This window comes from Homo sapiens, chromosome 19 (assembly GCF_000001405.40).
Source record: "Homo sapiens chromosome 19, GRCh38.p14 Primary Assembly".
NCBI lineage: Eukaryota > Metazoa > Chordata > Mammalia > Primates > Hominidae > Homo > Homo sapiens.
The window spans coordinates 44254140-44275739 of record NC_000019.10 but is presented as its reverse complement, the minus strand read 5'-3'; the positions used below and the strand labels follow the sequence as shown (position 1 = coordinate 44275739).

At 40.7% G+C, this 21600-nt stretch overlaps 1 protein-coding gene across 9 annotated transcripts; it reads right to left on the bottom strand.

Moving 5' to 3' along the window:
- Positions 1-422: 422 nt before the first annotated feature.
- Positions 423-15854, bottom strand: ZNF233 (zinc finger protein 233). Of its 9 annotated transcripts, none has more exons than XM_017026758.3 (5): positions 15532-15854; positions 11365-11426; positions 9416-9542; positions 8596-8874; positions 423-2841 (listed from the first exon to the last, which is right to left on the bottom strand). In XM_017026758.3, coding segments are annotated over exons 1-5 (594 nt in total). In that variant the 5' UTR covers positions 15656-15854; the 3' UTR covers positions 423-2839. The 9 variants fall into 9 exon arrangements, with proteins under 9 accessions (XP_016882247.1, XP_024307256.1, XP_016882249.1 ...); XM_024451488.2 differs by having other exon boundaries at positions 8779-8874; XM_017026760.3 differs by having other exon boundaries at positions 15738-15854.
- Positions 15855-21600: the final 5746 nt, after the last annotated feature.

The window sequence follows — 21600 nt, the reverse complement described above, 5'->3', positions numbered from 1 at the left end:
TACACCTGAGTAAACCCTTCATCCAATTACTATGATTTGATCATTACACACTGCATAACGTGTAATGATGTCTGAGAAGTATGGGGTGTTGTCCAAAATGCTGTGTCCTTAACAGCTTAGTTTAACATCTAAAATGCATGCCATATGATATTCCCCTTTTTTGCAAAACCTTTCTCATGAAGCTTTATGGAACTAAAAACCAGTTGGGATTTTTTTCTTCATTCAGTCTGTTTCTATCACACTAGCTCCCAAAAAGAAAGATAGCAAAAGCCCCCGCCAAAGAAACATAGCACAGCTGTACACTGTATGGAAAAAGTCTTAAATAATCAGATAGAAACTTTGGCCTATTATACTGCTTGGAAAATGAAGCTGAACTGAGGACAGAAGCCAATTGCAAAAACATTACTCAGATTGTAGACTGCTTGGTTTTATGTGTTTTAATTAAATGTCATTTCCTTGAATTCATTTTAAGGCTTCTTGCAAGAATCCTTTTCCCAGTACAATTATAATGACGAATTGGGGCTGAGCTCACTAAAATATTCAAATATATGTCCTATATATGATAGATTTTTCCTATCAAGTTAAACAATTCCAGGGAAGCCACTATTTCTTAGGTACTTGTTCAAGGTCACGATCATGCAGCAGTAAACAATGTTCCTGCATGGAGCTTAGATTCTAGTGGACACAGATTTTGTCATGTCCCTCATTATACTTTTGCTAAATTCTGACCTTACTTATCATTTTGAAGGCTTCACTCCTGCATATTGCTTATTGGATGTGAAGGTTCTGATTGAAACATATTGTATCATTCTTTATAGGGTTTCTCTGTTGTGTGTTCTCTTGACAACTGTGACATTTTGGGCTCTGCTTGAAACTGGTCATATTCATACAAAAATAGGTTTTCTTCAATGGAATTCAGATAACTATAAAAACTCAGCTCATGAATTCTTAAAACATGACATTTTATAAATATTCTGTGCTGTGTGGATTTTCTGAGGAAAATGGGAAGTCTAAGTCTTGAAGAGCACCCCTATCACACTCATCATGATTAATAGATTCATCACCATCATGGACTCTCTGATGAATCTGAAGACAACGAACTCTTACTAAAGCCCTTACCACACACAAAACATTTGTATGGTTTCTCTCCAGTATGGACTCTCTGATGGGCTTGAAGATGTGAAGTCTGACTGAAGCTCTTACCACACATGCCACATTTATAGGGTTTCTCTCCCGTGTGGATCCTCTGATGAACATGAAGATATGAGTTCCAGATGAAGCCTTTCCTACATTCTTCACATTTGTATGGTTTCTCTCCTGTGTGGACTCTCTGATGGGCTTGAAGATGTGAACTCCAACTGAAGCCTTTCCCACACACATCACATTTGTAGGGATTCTCTCCAGTATGGACTTGCTGATGGTCTTGGAGATGCGAACTCTGACTAAAGCCCTTCCCACATGTCTCACATTTGTATGGCTTCTCTCCTTTGTGAACTCTCTGATGGGCCTGAAGATGAGAGATCTGACTGAAGTCCTTCCCACATGTGTCACATTTGTAGGGTTTCTCTCCTGTATGGACTCTCTGATGGGCCTGAAGGTGGGAATTACGGCTGAAGTTCTTATCACACACATCACATTTGTAGGGTTTCTCTCCAGTGTGGATTCTCTGATGGGCTTGAAGATTTGAGGCCTTACTGAAGCCCTTATCACATACCTCACATTTATATGGTTTCTCTCCAGTGTGAACTCTCTGGTGAAGACCAGAATTCCTATTAAATATCCTGTCACTTACTTCCCATTTGTATGTCTTGTCTCTAGAGTGACCTCTCTGATGGGCTTGAAGTTGTGATGTCTGACTGAAGCCTTTATCATATACATCACATTTACAGGCTCTCTCTCCAGCACTGTCTACACAGTGAATGTCAAAATCTAAGCTATGATGGAAGCCCTTCCCACACCTGCCACATGTACACAACTTCTCTCCTGGGTGAGTAAGCTCATGAGAGGGAAGACAGGAGTTCTGGTTGGAGCTCCGGGCATATACCTGACATCTGTAGAGGTTCTCTCCTGTGCTGACTCTCTGATGAGGTTGCAGATGTGAGCCCTGACTGAAGCCCTCACCACTGTCACCATTCCTATAGCATTTCTCTCCTATGTGGAAACACTGATGCCTGGGAAGCCCTGAGCTGTAACCTATGCCCTTCCCGTACTCAACATTTACATGAGGCTTGTCTCTTAAGTGTAGTTGCTGGTGAAGTTCAAGATTAGAGCCAACACTTAAGCCTTTTCCATTTTCATCAGAGGTTTGCTCTCCTGATTGGATTATGCTATGCTGGGATGATTCCTTCACACAGTCTTTTCCACAATTATTGTGGCTAAAAGCTTTCTCTCTTTTGTGTACTCCATGATCATCATGTTGATGAGCAATTCTTTGCCTAACACAATGATCACATTTACAGAGCTTATTTTTTACATCAATTTGCTGACACCTACTCTGATAATTCTGTGGTTCTCTCAGATACATTTTCCTCCAGAAATCCCAGGTGGTCCTCAATGGAAGCTCTTGATTTTTTATGCTATTTGAACTCTCCCCTTGTAGCTTTATTACATAGTTCTCATCTTCAGAGACCTGACTAGATTCTCCTGTCCACACCTGACAGGGGGAATCACCTTGTTTTAGCAACTTGGACCTCTTGCCTTGAAGATTTATTATTAGGTCTTGATTACTGGTTAATTTACTTGTAAATTGTTCCCATATTTGCCAGCATATAAGGTCTTCATATGAAAGGAATCTTAATCTTACTTCTTGAAGGGTATCTATCTCATTTTGATTCTTGTGTCCTAGAATGATAAAGAGAACTCAGAAATGAAAATGAAGACAACTGAACATTTGTTCAGAAATAAAAAAACATTTCACAGGTTGACCACATTGGGAAACCTTAATAAACCAGTGGAGAGTTCAGCTTGACTTTATCATTGTTTTTTTTTCTCTTTTTTTGTTTTTTGAGACGGAGTCTCGCTCTGTCACCCAGGCTGGAGTGCAGTGGTGTGCTCTTGGCTCACTGCAAGCTCCACCTCCCGGGTTCATTCCATTCTCCTGCCTCGGCCTCCCGAGTAGCTGGGACTACAGGCGCCTGCCACCATGCCCAGCTCATTTTTTTGTATTTTTAGTACAGACGGGGTTTCACCATGTTAGCCAGGATGGTCTCGATCTCCTGACCTCGTGAACCGCCCGCCTCGGCCTCCCAAAGTGCTGGGATTACAGGTGTGAGCCACCGCACCCAGACTATCATTGGTTTTTTTCATGCCTATGGCAACAAAAAAGGCTGGCTTCTATATACAAAATGTTAATGAGACTCATTTAGAGCTATACCAAGACTTTTTTTTTTTTTTTTTTTTGAGACTGCAGGTTGTACAATGTAACCATGATTCTGAGGCTCACATATAGCCAGGATTTTGTAGATTTTATACATCTGCCATGGAAAAGAGGAGAGGATTTTTTTTTTTTTTTTGAGATGGAGTCTCACTCTCTTGCCCAGGCTGGAGTGTGGTGGCACGATCTTGGCTTACTGAAACCTCCACCTCTGGGGTTCAAGTGATTCTCCTGCCTCAGCCTCTGGAGGAGCTGGGACTACAAGTGCATGCCACCACACCTCATTAATTTTTTTTGTATTTTTAGTAGAGACAGGGTTTCACCATGTTGGCCAGGCTGGTCTTGAACTCCTGACCTCAAGTCATCTGCCTGCCTTGGCCTCCCAAAGTGCTGGGATTACAGGTGTGAGCCACCATGCCTGGCCAATACCAAGACTTATGTATGTGGTCAAATACACAGGCTACAGAGCAACAAAAAGATGCCCTAGAAAGACGTTGTAGAGGAGAAACTTTACCTCCTTGTCCATAAGAATAATCACTTAAAAATCCCTCCTCTTTGGCTGGGTGCGGTGGCTCTCACCTGTAATCCTAGCACTTTGGAAGGCCGAGGCAGGTGGATCACGAGGTCAGGAGATCGAGACCATCCTGGCTAACATGGTGAAACCCCGTCTCTACTAAAAATACAGAAAAATTAGCCAGGCATGGGGGCAGGCGCCTGTAGTCCCGGCTACTCGGGAGGCCAAGGCAGGAGAATGGTGTGAACCCAGGAGGCAGAGCTTGCAGTGAGCGGAGATCGTGCCACTGCACTCAAGCCTGGGCTACAGAGTGAGACTCCGTCTCAAAAAAAAAAAAAAATCCTCTCCTCTTTTCCGTGGCAGATGTATAAAATCTACAAAATCCTGGCTATATGTGAGCCTCAGAATCATGGTTACATTGTACAACCTGCATCTGTATATGATAAAGCCCAAAAATGGTTACAAAAGCCTGAATCTCTCCTTCAGCATTCACAAGTGGATTATTTAGTGATGCCAAGAATTCTCAAAGAAAGAAAGAGGGGACATCCTTGGCAAAAGTGAAGAGAATATAGAAAAATATCTTCTCTGTCTTGAGAATGAACCCATAAGATAGTACCATTATTTCCTTAATTTAGTCCTTAAACATACATTTGATGAGCTAGATTTGAGAGAATTCTCCTTCTTTTCAATGAGGTTCTAAGTATATAATATTCAATTAGTGAACATGATAAATGAAAAAGAATTAGAAAACTTATTCCCATAGCTGACACACCCTATAGGAGTAAAGGCATTGATAATTGTTGCCACTTGGTTTGACTGAATTTTCTGATAAACCTAAATGGCTAATACAAGATGGTCCCCAGTGATCACTCCCCATTGGAATCCATTCCCTTTTGAAGCCCCCTCCCACACTGTATCAAGTTTGGTCTGTGAAACCAATAGAATATGGCAGAAGTGATGATCTGTCACTTCTGATGCTAGGTCATAAAAACACTGTGGCTTCTATCTTCCACTCTCCTGAATCACTGGGTCTGGGAGAAACTAGCTGCCATGTTTTGAGGACACTTCAGCAGCCGTAGGGAATGGTTCACTTAGCAAGGAAGCGAGGCCTCCTGCCACAGCCATGTGAACGAGCCCACCTTGGAAGCAGGTCCTTCAGTCCCAGTCCAGCCTTCCGGGGACGGCAGCTCCGTCACTCTTTAACAGCTTTTTGAGATCCGGAGTGAGAACCCTCACTTAGGGTTAAGCTAAGCTGCTCCCATATACCTAACCCATAGAAACTATAAACCAATGTTCATTGTTTTAAGGTGCTAAGGTTTTTGTTTTGTTTTGAGACGAAGTTCCGCTCTTGTTCCCCAGGCTGGAGTGCAATGGTATGATATCAGCTCATTGCAACCTCTGCCTCCGGGGTTCAAGTGATTCTCCTGCCTCAGCCTCCCCAGTAGTTGGGATTACAGTTGCCTGCCACCACACCTGGCTAATTTTTTTTTTTTTTTTTTTTTTTTTAGTATAGATGGGGTTTCACCATGTTGGCCAGGCTGGTCTCAAACTCCTGACCTCAGGTGATCTGCCTGCCTCAGCCTCCCAAAGTGCTGGGATTACAGGCGTGAGCCACCACAACTGGCCAAGGTGCTAAGTTTCACAGTAATTTGTTATAAAATAATTGATAACTAACACAGGTGTCATAAAAATTATAAGTAGGCTGAACATAACATCAGAAGAGTAACTATGTTCTGAAATAGTCCTTTAGTGACACCTCTTTATTCTCTGCCTGTGAACTCTCTCAATGAGAAGTGAAGACAGTGAGATCCACTTAGCACCATACTCTGTGAGATTTTGTTTCATTGATCCTTGAGGGAGAAGATGCCCTTTAATTTGTACTTCTGTCCAGTGAAAATAGACCTCAGGAATATTTTGTATAGGTGGAGCTGGGTACGTAGGTGGATAAGCAGAATGTGAAACCCTAAAAAATTCTGATGTTTGCCAAAAAATAAAGAGAGGTGAGGGTAGAATACGCTGTCAGATTTGTTCAGTTTTCCAAGGGCTGTGAGTTACATAGTTATATCCTTTTGTCAAAACTCATCAAATTGCACACTTAAGGTGTGCACATGTAAATTTTACCTCAATAAAAAAGAGCTGTAAAACAAGCCATTTTACTTCCTGAAAATTTAGGGAGCTATACATTTACAATTTGTACAGTTTTCTGTATATATTTCAATAAAAAATTGGCCAAAAATTAAAAAAAAAGTAAAGATTTGTGGCCGGGAGCAGTGGCTCATGCCTGTAATCCCAGCACTTTGGGAGGCCAACGTGGGCAGATCACAAGGTCAAGAGATAGAGACCATCCTGGCCAACATGGTGAAACCCCATCTCTACTAAAAATACAAAAATTAGCTGGGTGTGGTGGCATGCGCCTATAGTCCCTGCTACTCGGGAGGCTGAGGCAGGAGAATCGCTTGAACCTGAGAGGCAGAGGTTGCAGCCAGCCAAGATTGCGCCACTGCACTCTAGCCTGGCAACAGAGCGAGACTCCATCTCAAAAAAAGAAAAAAAAAACAAAAACAGTCAAGATTTGCTAAGGAGGCAAAGAAGAAGTTGGGAAGAAGCTACCTGTTAAGAAAAAAAAAAAGGACAATGGCAATAACTGGGATCATAATTCCCAAGTTTTAGGTTTATACACAAAAATGAGGCAGTCAAAAACAAAAAAAGAAAATTTTTAAAAATGAGGCAGTCAGTCAAAGAAGTCAGCATCCAACATTCCTGATTGCAATGCAGTCAACGTTCATGGAGCATGGAGATACAAGAAAATAAAAGATAAGAAGATTGGAAAGATTTTACTACTCCAGCTACTTACAAAATCCAGGGCCTGTCTCTCTCAGATAAGCAGAGAGATTCTCCTGGGCTTTTGGTTTGCTTTTTTTGTTTGTTTAATTTAGTTTTTGCGTTTTGGTGCTTCTATCAAGTAGGAATGACTTTAATTAGTGTATTTTAGGTATTTATGATGTATATTCAAATTAAAGATAAATGAAGGAAGAAGTGAAGAAAAGGGGGAATGAAATAAGGAAGAGAAAGAATAGAAGGAGAGGGGTGAAAGCAGAACAGGGAGGTTGTCACTGGGTGTATGGATGAGGCAACTCTCACCAAAAGTCTCGCAGATACCACAGGTTGGGAGATCTGTGAGGGAGCCATTACAGTACTATTCAAATGAAAACACCTATCCATTAGTCCATTAACTGACGTTACTGACATCGGTCCATTAACCCATTCATTCACTCATTCAGTCACTCATTCGACAAATATTAAATGAACAGGTATTACGTGCCAAGCCTATTAAAGGCAATAAGGATCAGCAATTTTAAAACAGGTAATATTAGTGTTGGGCACAGTAGTGCACTCCTGTAGTCCCAGCCCAGGAGTTTGAGCTGCAGCAAGCTATGATTGTATCACTGCACTCCAGCCTAGGTGAAAAAGCCAGACCCCCATCTCTAAGAAAAGAAAAAGAAAAATGAAAAGAAAACAGGTAAAATTCTTACGTTCATGAAGTTGTACTCTAATGGGGAAAGAGACCATAGAAAAGTAAACAAAATGTAATACATGAATATGTCAGCTGATGATTGATGATTAATCACAAAGGCAGAATAAAGAGATGGGTATTTAATTTAATTAAATGTATGTATGTATGTATGTATGTATGTATGTATGTATTTTTGAGACAGGGTCTTGCTCTGTCGCCCAGGCTACAGTGCAGTGGCACAGTTATAGCTGTGAGCTAATTTTTTAAATTTTTTTATAGAGGTGCGGTCTCACTGTGTTGTCCAGGCTGGTCTTAAACTCCTGGCCTCGAGTGATCCTGCCACCTTGGCCTCTCAAAGTGCTGAGATTACAGGGATGAGCCATCACGCCCAGCCAAGGATAGGTATTTTAAACAGGGTAGTCAAAGCAGTTTTCCAGGGAGTCAGAGGTTGCAGTGAGCCAAGATCGCGCCATAGCACTCCAGCCTGGCGACAGAGCAAGACTCCGTCTAAAAGAAAAAAAAAAGCAGGTTTCTGTGATGAGATGACATCTGACCAGACATAAAGGAAGTAGGCTGGGAGCCAAGAGGATGTATGAGGTAAGAACATCCCAGGCAGACAGAAGAGCAAAAGGCTTCAGGTAGAAAGAAATACATGTATGCCGGGCACAGTGGCTCATGCCTGTAATCCTAACACTTTGGGAGGCTGAAGTGGGAGGATTGCTTGAGCTCAGGAGTTTGAGACCAACCTGGGTAATATGGTGAGACCTCATCTCTACCAAAAAAAAAAAAACATGTATATATACATAGTTTTAAAATTAGTCCAGCATAGTGGCAAGTGCCTGTAGTCCCATCCCAGCTACTCAGGAGGCTGAGGTGAGAAGATCGATTGAGCCTGGGAGGTCGAGGCTGCAGTGTACCATGATTGCACCACCACTTCAGCCTAGGTCACAGAGTGAGACCTGTCTTAAAGAAAAAAAAAAAAAAAAAGCACCCTTGGCATGTATAAGAAACACACAGCAGTCTTGTGTGGCTGGAAAGAACTGAGTGAAAAGCAAAGGATAGGAAATCAATTCACAGGGAGTGGGTGACCAGGTCACATAGGACCCTGAAGGCTCGTAGAGATTTTGGAATTAATGAGTGAGATGGGAAGTCACAGAAGGCTTTTGAGCCAAGGAGCGACATGATCTGACTTACATGATCTGGCTATGTGGAGAATGGACTGGAGGGAGGTAGAAGGAGGAAGGTCATGTGCAAGCTGCTGCAGTAAACCAGGGCGATGAATTCTGGGGTCTTGGGCCAGGCTGGTGGCTGAGGAGGTGGTGAGGAGGAGAGGACTAGGCTGTACCCCGCAAAGACTCAGAGCTCCATGGTTCTCACCTGAACACCCATCTCCTTGGATTTCTGTCTCCATCATCCGAAGCTTGTCTTCTTTTCCCAACTGTAATATCACATCTAGTTTGAAGGGTTGATAGCCTGTGAAAAAGAAATGGCATATATATAAAGTGAATGCATTATAGTCAAAAATTTTAATTCCAACACCACCATTTTCATGCGCTCTAAGTAGTATTTTTCAAAATTGTGATCATGAGCTATTGTCTGAATACCTTTTAATTTGTGATCCGGTACACAAATACATAAATGTAAATCACTGAAATCAAGTGATCAGATAATTTGATCCTAACCATTATCTACTTTTATCACATCTTCTTTCCTGTTTTTACTTACAATTTTCGTTGCACTGAATGCAGTTCCTGACAAGGAGCTATAATATTTCTACTTCATTTCATTAAACACAATAATAATGTAACTCACCAACTGATTTCAAAACCCACCAAGATTTCACAACTGCAATTTGAGAAAAATAGACAAGGTATAGACAAGATGTCCCTGAGGAATTAGAAAATTCACATCCCCAAGTTCAGGGAAGCATTTTAAGCGTCCCAAAGTCTTAAATAATTGAAAGCAGGACAGTCCAGAGGGCTGATATTCAGTTACAGAAGGTGCCTGTGCTCACCCACTGACAGCAGGTTCCTGAAGTTCTCCAGCATCACATCTTGGTACAGCTTTCTCTGGGCAAGGTCCAGCAACCCCAGCTCCTCCCTGGTGAAGACCACAGCCACATCCTTGAATGTCACCATCTCCTACAACATCAAGCAGATGTAATCTCAATCTTATGGCCAATAACTGCTGGGAGAGAGGCAGCACTGAGCAGGTAGAAAGAACAGGCAGGAAGACGTTCTGGATTGTGAGGGCCTCGAATGAACTTTAAGTAGCTTCCTCGTTTTCTCCATCCCACATGCCAATCTCATAGACTACTTTTCCACAGTCACATCAAAAGTGTGTGCTACTAAAAAATAACCCCTGTGTATTTAATTTGGTGACATTTGTAAGTATTCCAACAGTAAATGCCCCAGCACTGTAAATCTTGAATCACACGGAATACGTATTTTATAACTTGACTGATACTACCAAATTGTCCTAGAAATGTTGGGTCAATTTAGTCCCAACGCTGAAAAAGGTGTTTGTACATGCACGTTTATAGTAGCACAATTTGCAATTGCAAAAATGTGGAACCAACCCAAATGCCCATCAATCAATGAGTACATAAAGAAACTGTGTGGCCGGCCGCAGTGGCTCACGCCTGTAATCCCAGCACTTTGGGAGGCCGAGGTGGGTGAACCACGAGGTCAGGAGTTCAAGACCAGCCTGACCAACATGGTGAAACACCGTCTCTACTAAAAACACAAAAAATTAGCTGGGTATGTTGGCAGGTGCCTATAATCCCAGCTACTCGGGAGGCTGAGGCAGGAGAATTGCTTGAACCTGGGAGGCGGAGGTTGCAGTGAGCCAGGATCGCGCCATTGCACTCCAGCCTGGGCAACAGTGCAAGACTCCGTCTCAAAAAAAAACAAAAGAAAAGAAACCGTGGTGTGTGTGTGTGTGTGTGTGTGTGTGTGTGTGTGTGTGTGTGTATATATATATGATGGAATACTACTCAGCCATAAAAAGGAACGAATTAATGGCATTTGCAGCAAGCTGGATGATATTGGAGACTATTATTCTCTGTGAAGTAACTCAGGAATGGAAAACCAAACATCGTATGTTCTCTCTCATAAGTAGGAGCTAAGCTATGAGGATCCAAAGGTCTAAGAATGACACAATGGACTTTAGGGCCTCAGGGGGAAAGGGTGAGAAGGGGGTAAGGGATAACAGAGGATGCCTCTGGGGAGTAAGGAACTGACTTGAAAGAGACAGGAGGGACCTTTTTGGGGTAATATAAATGTTCTATATCTTGTTCTGAATGGTGGGCTAATGCAATTATACAACTGTCGAAGTGGGATATAAAACTGTTATTGACCTGACCACTTAAGATATATATAATTTTTGTAAGTAAATATTGCATTTTTAAAGCCCCATGAAAAAGTCTTGCAAATTGAAATACTATTTAGAGACAGCATTGTGTGTTTGTTTTGTAGCCTCTGAAAAATTAGACAAAAAATGAAAACCCTTCTGAGACAAATACATAAAGGAACACTAAATCATATAAAACTCTAGTAACAACATTAACTGAAAAAAGAAAATTGTATATAGAATGTGATTGTAGTTCTTTAAAATACACTGACAAGTATAGATATAAGACATACAATATGTAAATACATATAAAATAGTATGGGGGAAATAGATTATTTGTATGCAATGTAGTAATGTGGAGGTTTTCTCCCATTTTTTGATATCTACGAATTTTTGCACTACTACTTGTGAAATAAAGATGATAAAATAAAACTACCAAAACAAAAGCTAAAGACATAAACAAAAAATTGAACCAATCGAAAATCAAGTAACTAGCAGATTCCAAATACCTGTTTTCCTCCTTTATCTTTCCCAAGGAAGAGAAAAAAAAGTGTCTAATCTTTGAGGAAAAGAGATGTCATTTTAAGAGATAAAAATCAAAACTCAACTCACCTGAAACTTGGTCATTTTCTCCTGCTCCTTCTGGGGAAGGGCAGGGTCCTGGGAAGGCAGAACTGGGAAAAGAGAAAGAAGCCATGAGAAACAGGCCCTAGCCCACATGGCTGTGCTGGCTGAATTTTTAAAAGGTGGCCGGGCATGGTGGCTCATGCCTGTAATCCCAGCACTTTGGGAGGCCGAGGCAGGCAGATTGCTTGAGCTCAGGAGTTCGAGACTAGCCCGCAACATGACGAAACCCCATCTCTACAAAAAAATACAATAATTAGCTGGGTGTGGTGGCACACACCTGTAATCCCAGCTACTTGCAGCAGAATGTACTGGCTACAAAAGTGGATTCTGGGGTCACAAGGTCTGGGGTCAAATCCTGGCATGGCTACTAACTCTGTTTAAGCTAATTAACCTCCCCATTCCTCAAATTTGTCACCTGCAAATGAGAAAAATAGTGCTTTCTTGCAAGATTATTGTAAGGGTTAAATGTGTGAACAGATGGAAACTCGTATAACTGATTTCCCTGCAAGCTGCAGAAAAGCAGATGATATTATGCATCATAAAATTGTTGTTGCAAATGTCTTTTGCCATCATTTCCAATAAGAGAGTCTTTTATAACATCCAGATTTCAAAGACTGTACAATGCTTTATCTTATGAAATTCACCTTTACCTCTGAAAAGTCTATAATTCTGATTGGCTATATTACTTACTACTTTGTTGTCCTATAATATTTAATTGATATCAGCATTCAGTTTTGTAAAAGGTATAAATACTTATGAATTTTCTTCATGTAGCCAGGAGAGTCTCAATGGTGTATCTCCCTTTCCCGTGCTCACTGTCGTAAGGAAATACTAATTTAAAATGTGTCTCTGCTAGCTTTTTTTTAAACAAAAGTTTGACAGTATCTGTCTCACTTAAATGAAAAATACTGTAGTACTAATAACAGATTCTAATTTACAGTTGCTTTGGGGATTAATGAGCAAATCGAATAGTCTTGGCTAGGCTAAACCATAGAGACAAAAAGTAATAGTTGCCAGGGGCTGAGAGAAGAGATAGTAAAGAGTGATGGCTAGGGCATATGAGGTTTCTTTTGGGGGTGATACAAATGTTCTTCAATTAGAAAATAGTGATGGTTGTACAACCTAACATTGTGGATACACTAAATACCACCGAATTGCACACTTTAAAAGGGTGAATTATATGGTATATGAATTATGACTCAATTTTTTAAATGGGGTAAAAGCCTTGGTTCTGTCTGTGGCACATTATATAAGCTCTCAATAAGTGATGATATGATGACTGTCGTTCCCATTTAATGGATGAGGAAGCTGAGGATTACTGAGATTAAGTTGCCCAAGGTCACAGAGCTGGTGAGGTGAGACTGCATCTGAATCCAGCTGAGTCCAGAGCCTGTCTCTTAATCGTGTCTCCTTCTCTAATCAGAAATATGAAGACATGGAAGGAATCATGTCTTAGAGATCAGAGAAGGGGAAGTTGGAGGGTATGAACTGCTGAAAATGATCTGCTGAGGGATACTGGAGCCAGATGATGAGGAACCTAATATCCTAATTGACTCTTCTGACTTACTAGCTCTTTGTGCCTATTTCCTCACCCATAAAGTGAGGACAATAACAGTATCTACCTCGTAGGGTTATTAAGAGGTTTCAGTGAGTATATACAAGATAGCATTCAATACAGATAGCTACTCCTGTTCGTGGGTCCTCCTACTTCAGGCAGAAACACTCTAGTAGGGACGAGAGCAATGTATTCTCTTCTGAAAGCTAGGGAGAGAGATCAATTTTTAATATCCAATTCCCTTTGTTCTGGTCCTATATTTACCTGCACCCTCCTGCTCTGCTCAGTAACAGGATTTTGCAAGACTTGACATTTCACGACATTTAGTAGAAAAAAACAAATGGGGTTTGGGGTGCCTGGCTCAGCTCTGCTCACTACATGTACCAGGGCCACTTTTCGAGGCCTGAATTTCCAGACTTTGTTCATTCCTAGGTTGTCAAGTCCTCTCGTGCCTTTGCTCCTGCCACTCTGCCTCCAGAGAGGACCAGCTTCCCTGTCCTTCTCTTGTAATCCCTCCTCTTGGAAGCCTTCAGCGTAGCTGGGGCATTTGGGGTATAATTAGTAAATCAAGCATCTGTTTTGCCTGTGAGATAATGAACATTACTCATCTTTTTACCCCAAGCACCTAGAATATAGTGAGTATTTGATGCACACAGAATCAAAGAATGACACACAGTCAGACAAGGATTGTACTAATTGATCTCCAAGATTCCTTTAAGCTACAAAATTCTCAGGCTATTAAATTAATTGGGAGGAGGAGAGGATGAACTTTATATGTCAATTTCTTCTGCGTTTTTAATTTCATTTGCTTTGCTCAAGCAACATCAAGGTCATCCTTAAAAGTGAAATCATTAGGCCAGGCGCAGTGGCTCACGCCTGTAATCCCAGCACTTTAGGAGGTCAAGGCAGGCAGATCACTTGAGGTCACGAGTTCGAGACCAGCCTGGCCAACATGATGAAACCTCATCTCTCCTAAAAATACAAAAATTAGCCAGGCATGGTGGCGGGCATCTGTAATCCCAGCTACTCGGGAGGCTGAGGCACGAGAATCACTTGAACCTGGGAGTGGGAGGTTGCAGTGAGCTGAGATCGTGCCACTGCACTCCAGCCTGGGAGACAGAGGGAGACTCAGTCTCAAAAAAAAAAAAAAAAAAAAAGTGAAATCATTCATAAAAGGGTCAATCCATAGACTGTGGATAATGTAAACCCTATCTATTTATTTATTTTAATAGCAGTGTCAGGTATTTACTCAAATGTCATCTCCTCAGAGTTCTTCCCTGCAAATCCTTAAAAAAATTTTTTTTATTATGACTCTTGAGCATCCCCCAGTCATTGCCTAAACTGTGAAACCATTTCTTTTCCTCTTTTTAATTTTTTTGAGACAGACTCTCACTCTCTTGCCCAGGCTGGAGTGCAGTGGGATGATCTCAGCTCACTGCAACCTCTGCCTCCTGGGCTCAAGCGATCCTCCTGCCTCAGCCTCCCAAGTAGCTGGGACCACAGGTGTGTGGCTAATTTTTAATTTTTTTGTAGAGATGGAGTCTCACTATGTTGCCCAGGCTGCTGTTGAACTCCTGGGCTCAAGCCATCCTCCCGCCTCAGCCTTCCAAAGTGTGGGATTACAGGCGTGAGTCACTGCACCCCCATGGGACTGACATTTCTCAGGGCTGAAGGAGAGTGGCACAAAGGTCAAGAACCCACTCTGCCTGAGCTCAGCCTGAGCTCAAACTCCCAGTTCAGGCTCTTTCCTGTTGTTTTACTTTGGGAAGATAAATGTTTTACCCATCAGTGTTGTCATCTGTAAAACAGGAATTACAATATTATCTTTGTTCTGAAGATTAAGCTAATTAATGCATATAAAGCCTATAGAAGAGACCCTGGCACTCAACGTATTAACAAATTTTATTATTACTCATTCACGAACACATGCCTAATCCAACCTCTCATTTATTCCATAAATATTTGAGCATTTGCCCAGCAGGAAAAATAATATTGCTAATGAGTGTGGGAAATCTGTTCTCCAACTAAGCAGAAATAGCAATAGCATATATTAAGTCCTCTCACGTTGGGACAATGTTACCAAGAGCCAGGGGGTCAACACCCTCCTCTCTGCAGCCCTCCGGTTAGTCAAGGCTGAGGAAGGAAAGGAGGTTGGAAGATATCTAAACTCTGTTTCTGGTCCAGGATGAATGACAGTGGACATCCCCAGGCACCACATGGAGGTGAGACACACTCATGCCTTAAAAGGGAAGGAAAAATAAAAAAGATGGAGAGAAAATTGACACCCCCGTCCCCCCACGTTAGGAATCCAGGAACAGCCTCGCGAGGTGCAGAGATCAGAGAAGGGCGAGTAGCGCTGCACCTGGAGCTCAGAACCCACTGCGGGCTCACAGAAGCTTTCAGAGACTGAATGCCTCTCCTCTCCAGGAAGAAATAACAGATTGGCAACAACCAGCCACCTTTTCAGTGTGTGTCAGGATCGGTCCTACGCATTTTTACATCTATTTATCTTAAGTAAATCTCACGAAACCCCTACCAGTTAGGTACTACTATGAAACTCACTTTACAGAGGAGAAACGGAGAAATTAAGAAACTACCAAGATTATATTGCCAGAAGACAGCAGAGCGTGTGGAAGGTGGGGAAGGCGAGGGAACTTGAGCGCCCGGGAGACCTTCAAACCAAACGTGCGACCAGGAGCCATTCCCAACTTGGAGACCCATGCACCGCCCTAAAAACAAAGGGCAAGCAAACCGTCGTCCCCGCCCTCTGCGACTTCCCTTCACTGAGAGCGAGGGCAGGCACCTGCGAGTCCAACGCCCAGGCCAGGAAAGCTCGCCGTAGATGCAGAGGTTCCGCGCTGACTCACCTCCCAGAGGGGATAGATGACGGCTGCTTCGCCCTCCTGCAGCGGAAGTACACAAGGTTGCAACGGCTTCTGCACTACACTTCCCAGAATGCCCGAGCGGAAACAGGCTACCGCCCTGCCCAGCCAAGAGGGACCAAGAGGGGCCAGGTGCAGTGGCTCACGCCTGTAATCCCAGCACTTTGGGAGGCCAAGGGGGGGTGGATCACTAGGTCAGCAGTTTGAGACCAGCCTGGCCAACATGGTGAAACCCCGTCTCTACTAAAAATACAAAAATTAGCTGGGCGTGGTGGCACATGCCTGTAATCCCAGCTACTCCAGAGGCTGAGGCAGGAGAATTGCTTGAACCCAGGAGGCAGAGGTTGCAGTGAGCCAATATCGTGCCACTGCACTCCAGCCTAGGCGACAGTGAGACTCCAGCTCCAAAAAAAAAAGAAAAAAGAAAAAAAGAAAATCAAGAAGAAGAGAAATATTTACAGTTCTGTACGGTATTGATACTGTAAGTTTACACCATCTGTTTACAAAATAAACCATCTTTCTGAAATGGCAGGCAGCTGCAGCTTCAGACCTCATTCTACAGTACATATCAAGCAATTCAACTTTTTCTTATAATGTCATGACTTTTCTATGCATCTTGGGAGCACTTGCAACATCACTAGTGGCAGTTCACATAGGTCCCATGGTAGTATTCAAGTTTTATAGTATTGCACTAAACACAATAAAAAATAAGAAACCTTTAGATCACTTTTTACTGTAATACGCAATTTACTAGAGAGATGAACTGCTCACTTTGAGATGATTAGCATTACTTGGAATTTTAAGCAGATATTTACACACATGAGCTCACCACAACAGTGACAGGAGATAGCTATTAAATTATTACAGTAGCACAGCATGTACTACAGTTAACTTTATGCAGGCTTGATTTAATATTGCATCTTTGTTTTACATTTCTCTTGACTGTGAACGTACAGTCTGTGTTTGTGTGTGTAAGTTTTTATAAGTTTTACCTTTTTTTAATAGATTCATGTATATTTTATGGTAGTAAATGATAAAATAGACTAATATCTACATATATTTTATGCATTCATGATATACCTAAATTTTTCTTAATTGTTTGATATTTCTAGACTACACGGCTTATCTGTGAGCTTTTTCAAATTGTTGCAAATTTCCAAAAAAAATTGCAATATATTTGTTGAAAAAAAATTCACATATAAGTGGACCCATGCAGTTTAAACCTGTGTTGTTCAAGAGCCAACTGTATTGTAATTTGGAAAAAAACAACATCTAAATTATATCTTGAAAATGCTTCTTCCCTTATTTCAATTTAAATTTTTTTTTGTATCCACTCAGCTTGCTCTTGAGATGATAAATGCAATAGAATGATCATCAATAGATCAAGTCAATGTGGTATCAAAAATGAAGTAATATTTAGCAGCCTTGTAAAAGCACATATATCAGGACTTCTTGCAGAGGCTTTGTTTCCAATGTGATTTTCTCTAGAAAGGAGAAAGTTGTTTTATTTAAGTTATGGGGGTGGGTATTGTGTATAGAGTGGGGAACTGCCTTTGATATTTTCTATCACAAATTTTTTTAGCTCAGTCAGCAGAATTTTATTATTTTAGCACCAAAGGAATCCTGAATCATGTTTTGTTTTCATCTCAAAGTATTTTCTAATTTCCCTGTAACTTCTATCCCCATCGGTTTTTATGAGTGTGCTGTTTAATTTCCACACATTTGTGAATTTTCCAGTTTTCCTCATTACTGATTTGAGTTTCATTTTTTTGTGGCCTGAGAATACATTTCATGTGACTTTATCTTTCTGTTGATACGTGAGATTTTTTATTTTTATTGAGACCTGTTTTGTGGCCTAATGTATGATCTATCCCAGAAAATGTTTCATGACCACTTAAGAAAAATATGTATTCTGCTGGTTTTAGGTGGGGTGCTTTGTATATATCTGCTAGGAGTTTGGTTTATGTTTCCAAATCCTCTAATTCTTTATTGATCTTTTGTCTGGTTGTTGTATCCATTATTGAAAGTGAGATACTGAAGTCTGAAAACATTGTAGAAATATTTATGTCTCCCTTCAGTTCCATCAATTTTCACACCATATATTTGGGGACTAGCTGTGTAATGTCTGTATTGTTATATCTTCTTGATGGATTGACTCTTTTGTCAATATATAATGTCATTGTTTGTCTCTTGTCAAGTTTTTTACCTAAGTCGATTTTGTCTAATATTAATACAATTACTTCAGTTCTCTTTTTTTACATCCTGCATGGAATAATTTTCTTCCATTTTTTCACTCAACATTTTTTGTCTTTGGATTGCAAATAAGTCTCTTATAGACAGCATATAGTTGGATCATGCTGTTTTATCCATTCTGTCCATTTTTGCCTTTTAACTGGAGAGCTTAATCTATTTGCATTTAAATTAATTCCTGATTTTAAAACGGCCTTGCTTCTTTCACTTTGTGATCTGTTTTCTACATGGCTTATCTTTTTTGTTCCTAGGTCTCTTGATTAATGCCTTCTTTCCTAGGTCTCTTGATTAATGCCTTCTTTTCTGTTTGATGTTTTTGCAGCGTACCTTTTTCTTTTTTTTTCCATTTTGAGACAGGGTCTCACTCTGTCACCCAGGCTGGAGTGCAGTGGTGTGATCTCAGCTCACTGCAACCTCTGCCTCCTGGGTTCAAGTGATTCTCATGCCTCAGCCTCCCAAGTAGCTGGGACTACAGGCATGCACCACAATGCCCAGCGAATTTTTGTATTTTTAGTAAAGACAGAGTTTCACCATGTTGGGCAGCCTGGTCTTGAACTCCTGACCTAAAGTGATCCACCCACCTTGGCCTCCCAAAATGCTGGGATTACAAGCGTGAGTCACCATGCCCGACCTGTAGTGTACCATTTAATTTTTCTTCTTATTCCCTTTTCTGTATATTTTCTTAGTGATTACCCTGTGGTATACAGTTAACGTCTTTTTTTCTTTTTTGAAACAAGGTCTTACTCTGTCACCCCGGCTGGAGTGCAATGGGTGTGATCTTGGCTCACTGCAGCCTCAAATTCCTGGGCTCAAGTGGTCCTCCAGCCTCAGACTCCTGCATAGTTAGGACTACAAAAATGTGCCATCACACCCAGCTAATTAAAAAAAAAATTGTAGAGACAGGGTCTCACTATGTTGCCCAGGCTGTTCTCAAACTCCTGGCCTCAAGCAATCCTCCTGCCTCACCCTCCCAAAGTGCTGGGATAACAGATGTGAGCTACCACAGCTGGCCTATTTTTCCAAATTTTATTATGAAAAAATTTAAAGATGCAAAAGTGTTGAATAGTATTAATTCAAACTATATTGTAATACATTAAAGAAGTTAATATAGCTTGAATTAATACTAACCTAGCTTCCAAAATATAAAAAATCCTGCTCCCGTATCTCTGTCCTCCTCCCTTTAGGATTTGAAAAATTACATCTTTATACATTGTGTGCCCCATTAACATAGATTTGTAACTATTTTACTCATTTTTCTTTAAATCATATAGGAGTTATGAGCCAATAATACAATAATATTGGCTTTTGTGTTTACCTATGTAATTACTTTACCAGTGTTCTTTATTAATTTATATGGCTTCAAGATTTAGTGTTTTTTCACTTCTGCCTGAAGTATTTTGTATTTCTTGTAGGGCAGGCCAACTAGCAATGAACTCCCTCAGTGTTTGTTTATCTAGGAATGTCTTAATTTCTCCTTCATTTTTGAAGGATGGTTTTGCCAGATATAGGATTCTTGGCTAACAGGTTTTTTTTATTTCATTACTTTAAATATGTCATCATACTGGCTTCTGGAGATCATGGTTTCTGATGAGAAATGGGTTATTAATCTTATTATAGAGGCTTTGAACATGAGGTGTCACTTTCTCTTGTTGATTTTGAGTCTCTGTCTTTTTATGGTTTGATTATAATGTGTCTTGGTGTGGATCTCTATGCATTTATTCTTCTTGGAGTTAGTTCCTTGAGCTTCTTCTATGTGTAGATTCATGTCTTATAAGTTTGAGAAGTTTTTGAACATTATTTCTTCAAATATTCCTTATACTCCTTTCTCTCTCCTCTTATTGTGACTCCCATTGTGCATATGCTGATATGCTTGATGGCATCCCACAGGTATCTGAGTTCTACTTACTTTTTCTTCTGCTCCTCAGATGGAATAACTTCAATTTACTTATCCTTTAGTTCACTGATTTTTCTGCTTGCTTAAATATACTGTTGAAATCCTCTAGTGAATTTTCATTTCAGTTATTATACTCTTCAGGTCCAAAATTCATGGTTTTTAAATAATTTCTACCTATTTGATATCTTTTTTTCAGACATGATTCTCCTGGTTTATTATTTTTGTTCATGGTTTCCTCTAGTTCTTTGAGAATATTTAAGACAGTTTATTTAAAGTCTTTGTCTGGTAAGTCCAGTGTCTGTGTTTCCTTGGGGACAGTTTCTGTTCATTTATTCTGGGAATGGACCATAATTTTTTATTTGCATGCTGTGTACTTTTTTTTTGTTTGTTTTATAATGTGGTATCTCTTAAAGTCAGATTCTTCCTCCTGCTCAGTTTGTTCTTATCTTATTGTGGATCGTAATGGTTTGTTTAGTGACTGTTACAGGTTTAATTTTGTCTCCCAAAAAGATATGTTGAAGTCCTAACCTGTGAACATGACCTTACTTTGAAATAGGGTTTTTGAAGATGCAATCAAGATGAGGGCATTAGGGTGTACCCTCATTCGATACGACAGTGTCCTTATTAGAAGAGTAACATACCATATTAAGACTGAAACACATGGGGAGAATGCCATGTGACCACAGAGACAGAGCTTGAAGTGATACAGCTAAAAGCCAAGGAATATCAAAGATCAATGGATACCAGCAGAAGCTACTAAGTGGTAATGAAAGAGAGCATGGCCCTTCTGACACTTTGATTTTGGAGGTCTAACCTGGAGAAAACTGGGAGAGAATGAATTTTTGTTGTTCAAGCCACCCAATTTTGTGCCATGTGGTAAGAGCAGCTCTGGGAAATGAATAGTGAGTTTTCTAAACTACTTTTTTTGTAAAACTGGTATTCCCTGTATTGTGTGGTATCTAAGGCCTCTATTCTTTTCATTTATTTTTACCCAGTGTGTTAACAGGGATTTCCTTGAATGTCTGGATGAAAAACAAACAAAAAAGGAAAAATATTTGCCCACTCTTTGCGCAATGACTCTTTGTTGGAGCCCTCTTTCGGTGCTTAGCCAGGTCATTTACAACTCTGCCAAAGCCTTCCCTTACTGCTTGCACTAAGTCAAAGATCAGTCAGAGGTGAAAGCTTGCAGTTTTTTCAGGTCATTTCTGAACATATGTTCTCCTCTGAGTATGTGCATGCCTTTCTAAATTTCCTGGTGTATGTGGGGAGCTTTTCAATACCCTACTTCCTCACAGAATCTCTCTCCCCAGATTTTCCTCCCAAGTTGTCATTCTGTATATTGTTTGCTTCAACAGTAATCTCTTACCTCAAGTGACAGTGGGTTGTTCATTTGCCTTTCAATGATTTAGAGGAATGTACTCTTCAATTAGCCACTTTTCCACCATGATAGAATTCCAAGTTAGATAAGATAAAACCAAGTAACTTGCAACAGTCTTTCAGGTAGCCCTCAGACAGTTCAAAACAGACAAACACAATTGAGAACAAGTTCTGCTCCACTGCCTCTGGAGCAAGAGATCAGTGTCCTACACTGGTAATATAGGCTGTCACCTTCAAGACCATCACCCAGCTGCAGAGAAAAG

What these genes read in the sequence shown, in the direction of transcription:
- ZNF233 (XM_024451488.2), bottom strand. Translation starts at nt 15,655, where the DNA reads ATGGGTCTCCAAGTTGGGAATGGCTCCTGGTCGCACGTTTGGTTTGAA. An exon ending in CTTCTGGCAATATAATCTTG is followed by an intron (nt 11,427 to 15,531) that starts GTAGTTTCTTAA and finishes CTCTTTTCCCAG; the next exon opens with TTCTGCCTTCCCAGGACCCT. An exon ending in AGAAAATGACCAAGTTTCAG is followed by an intron (nt 9,543 to 11,364) that starts GTGAGTTGAGTT and finishes TTGATGTTGTAG; the next exon opens with GAGATGGTGACATTCAAGGA.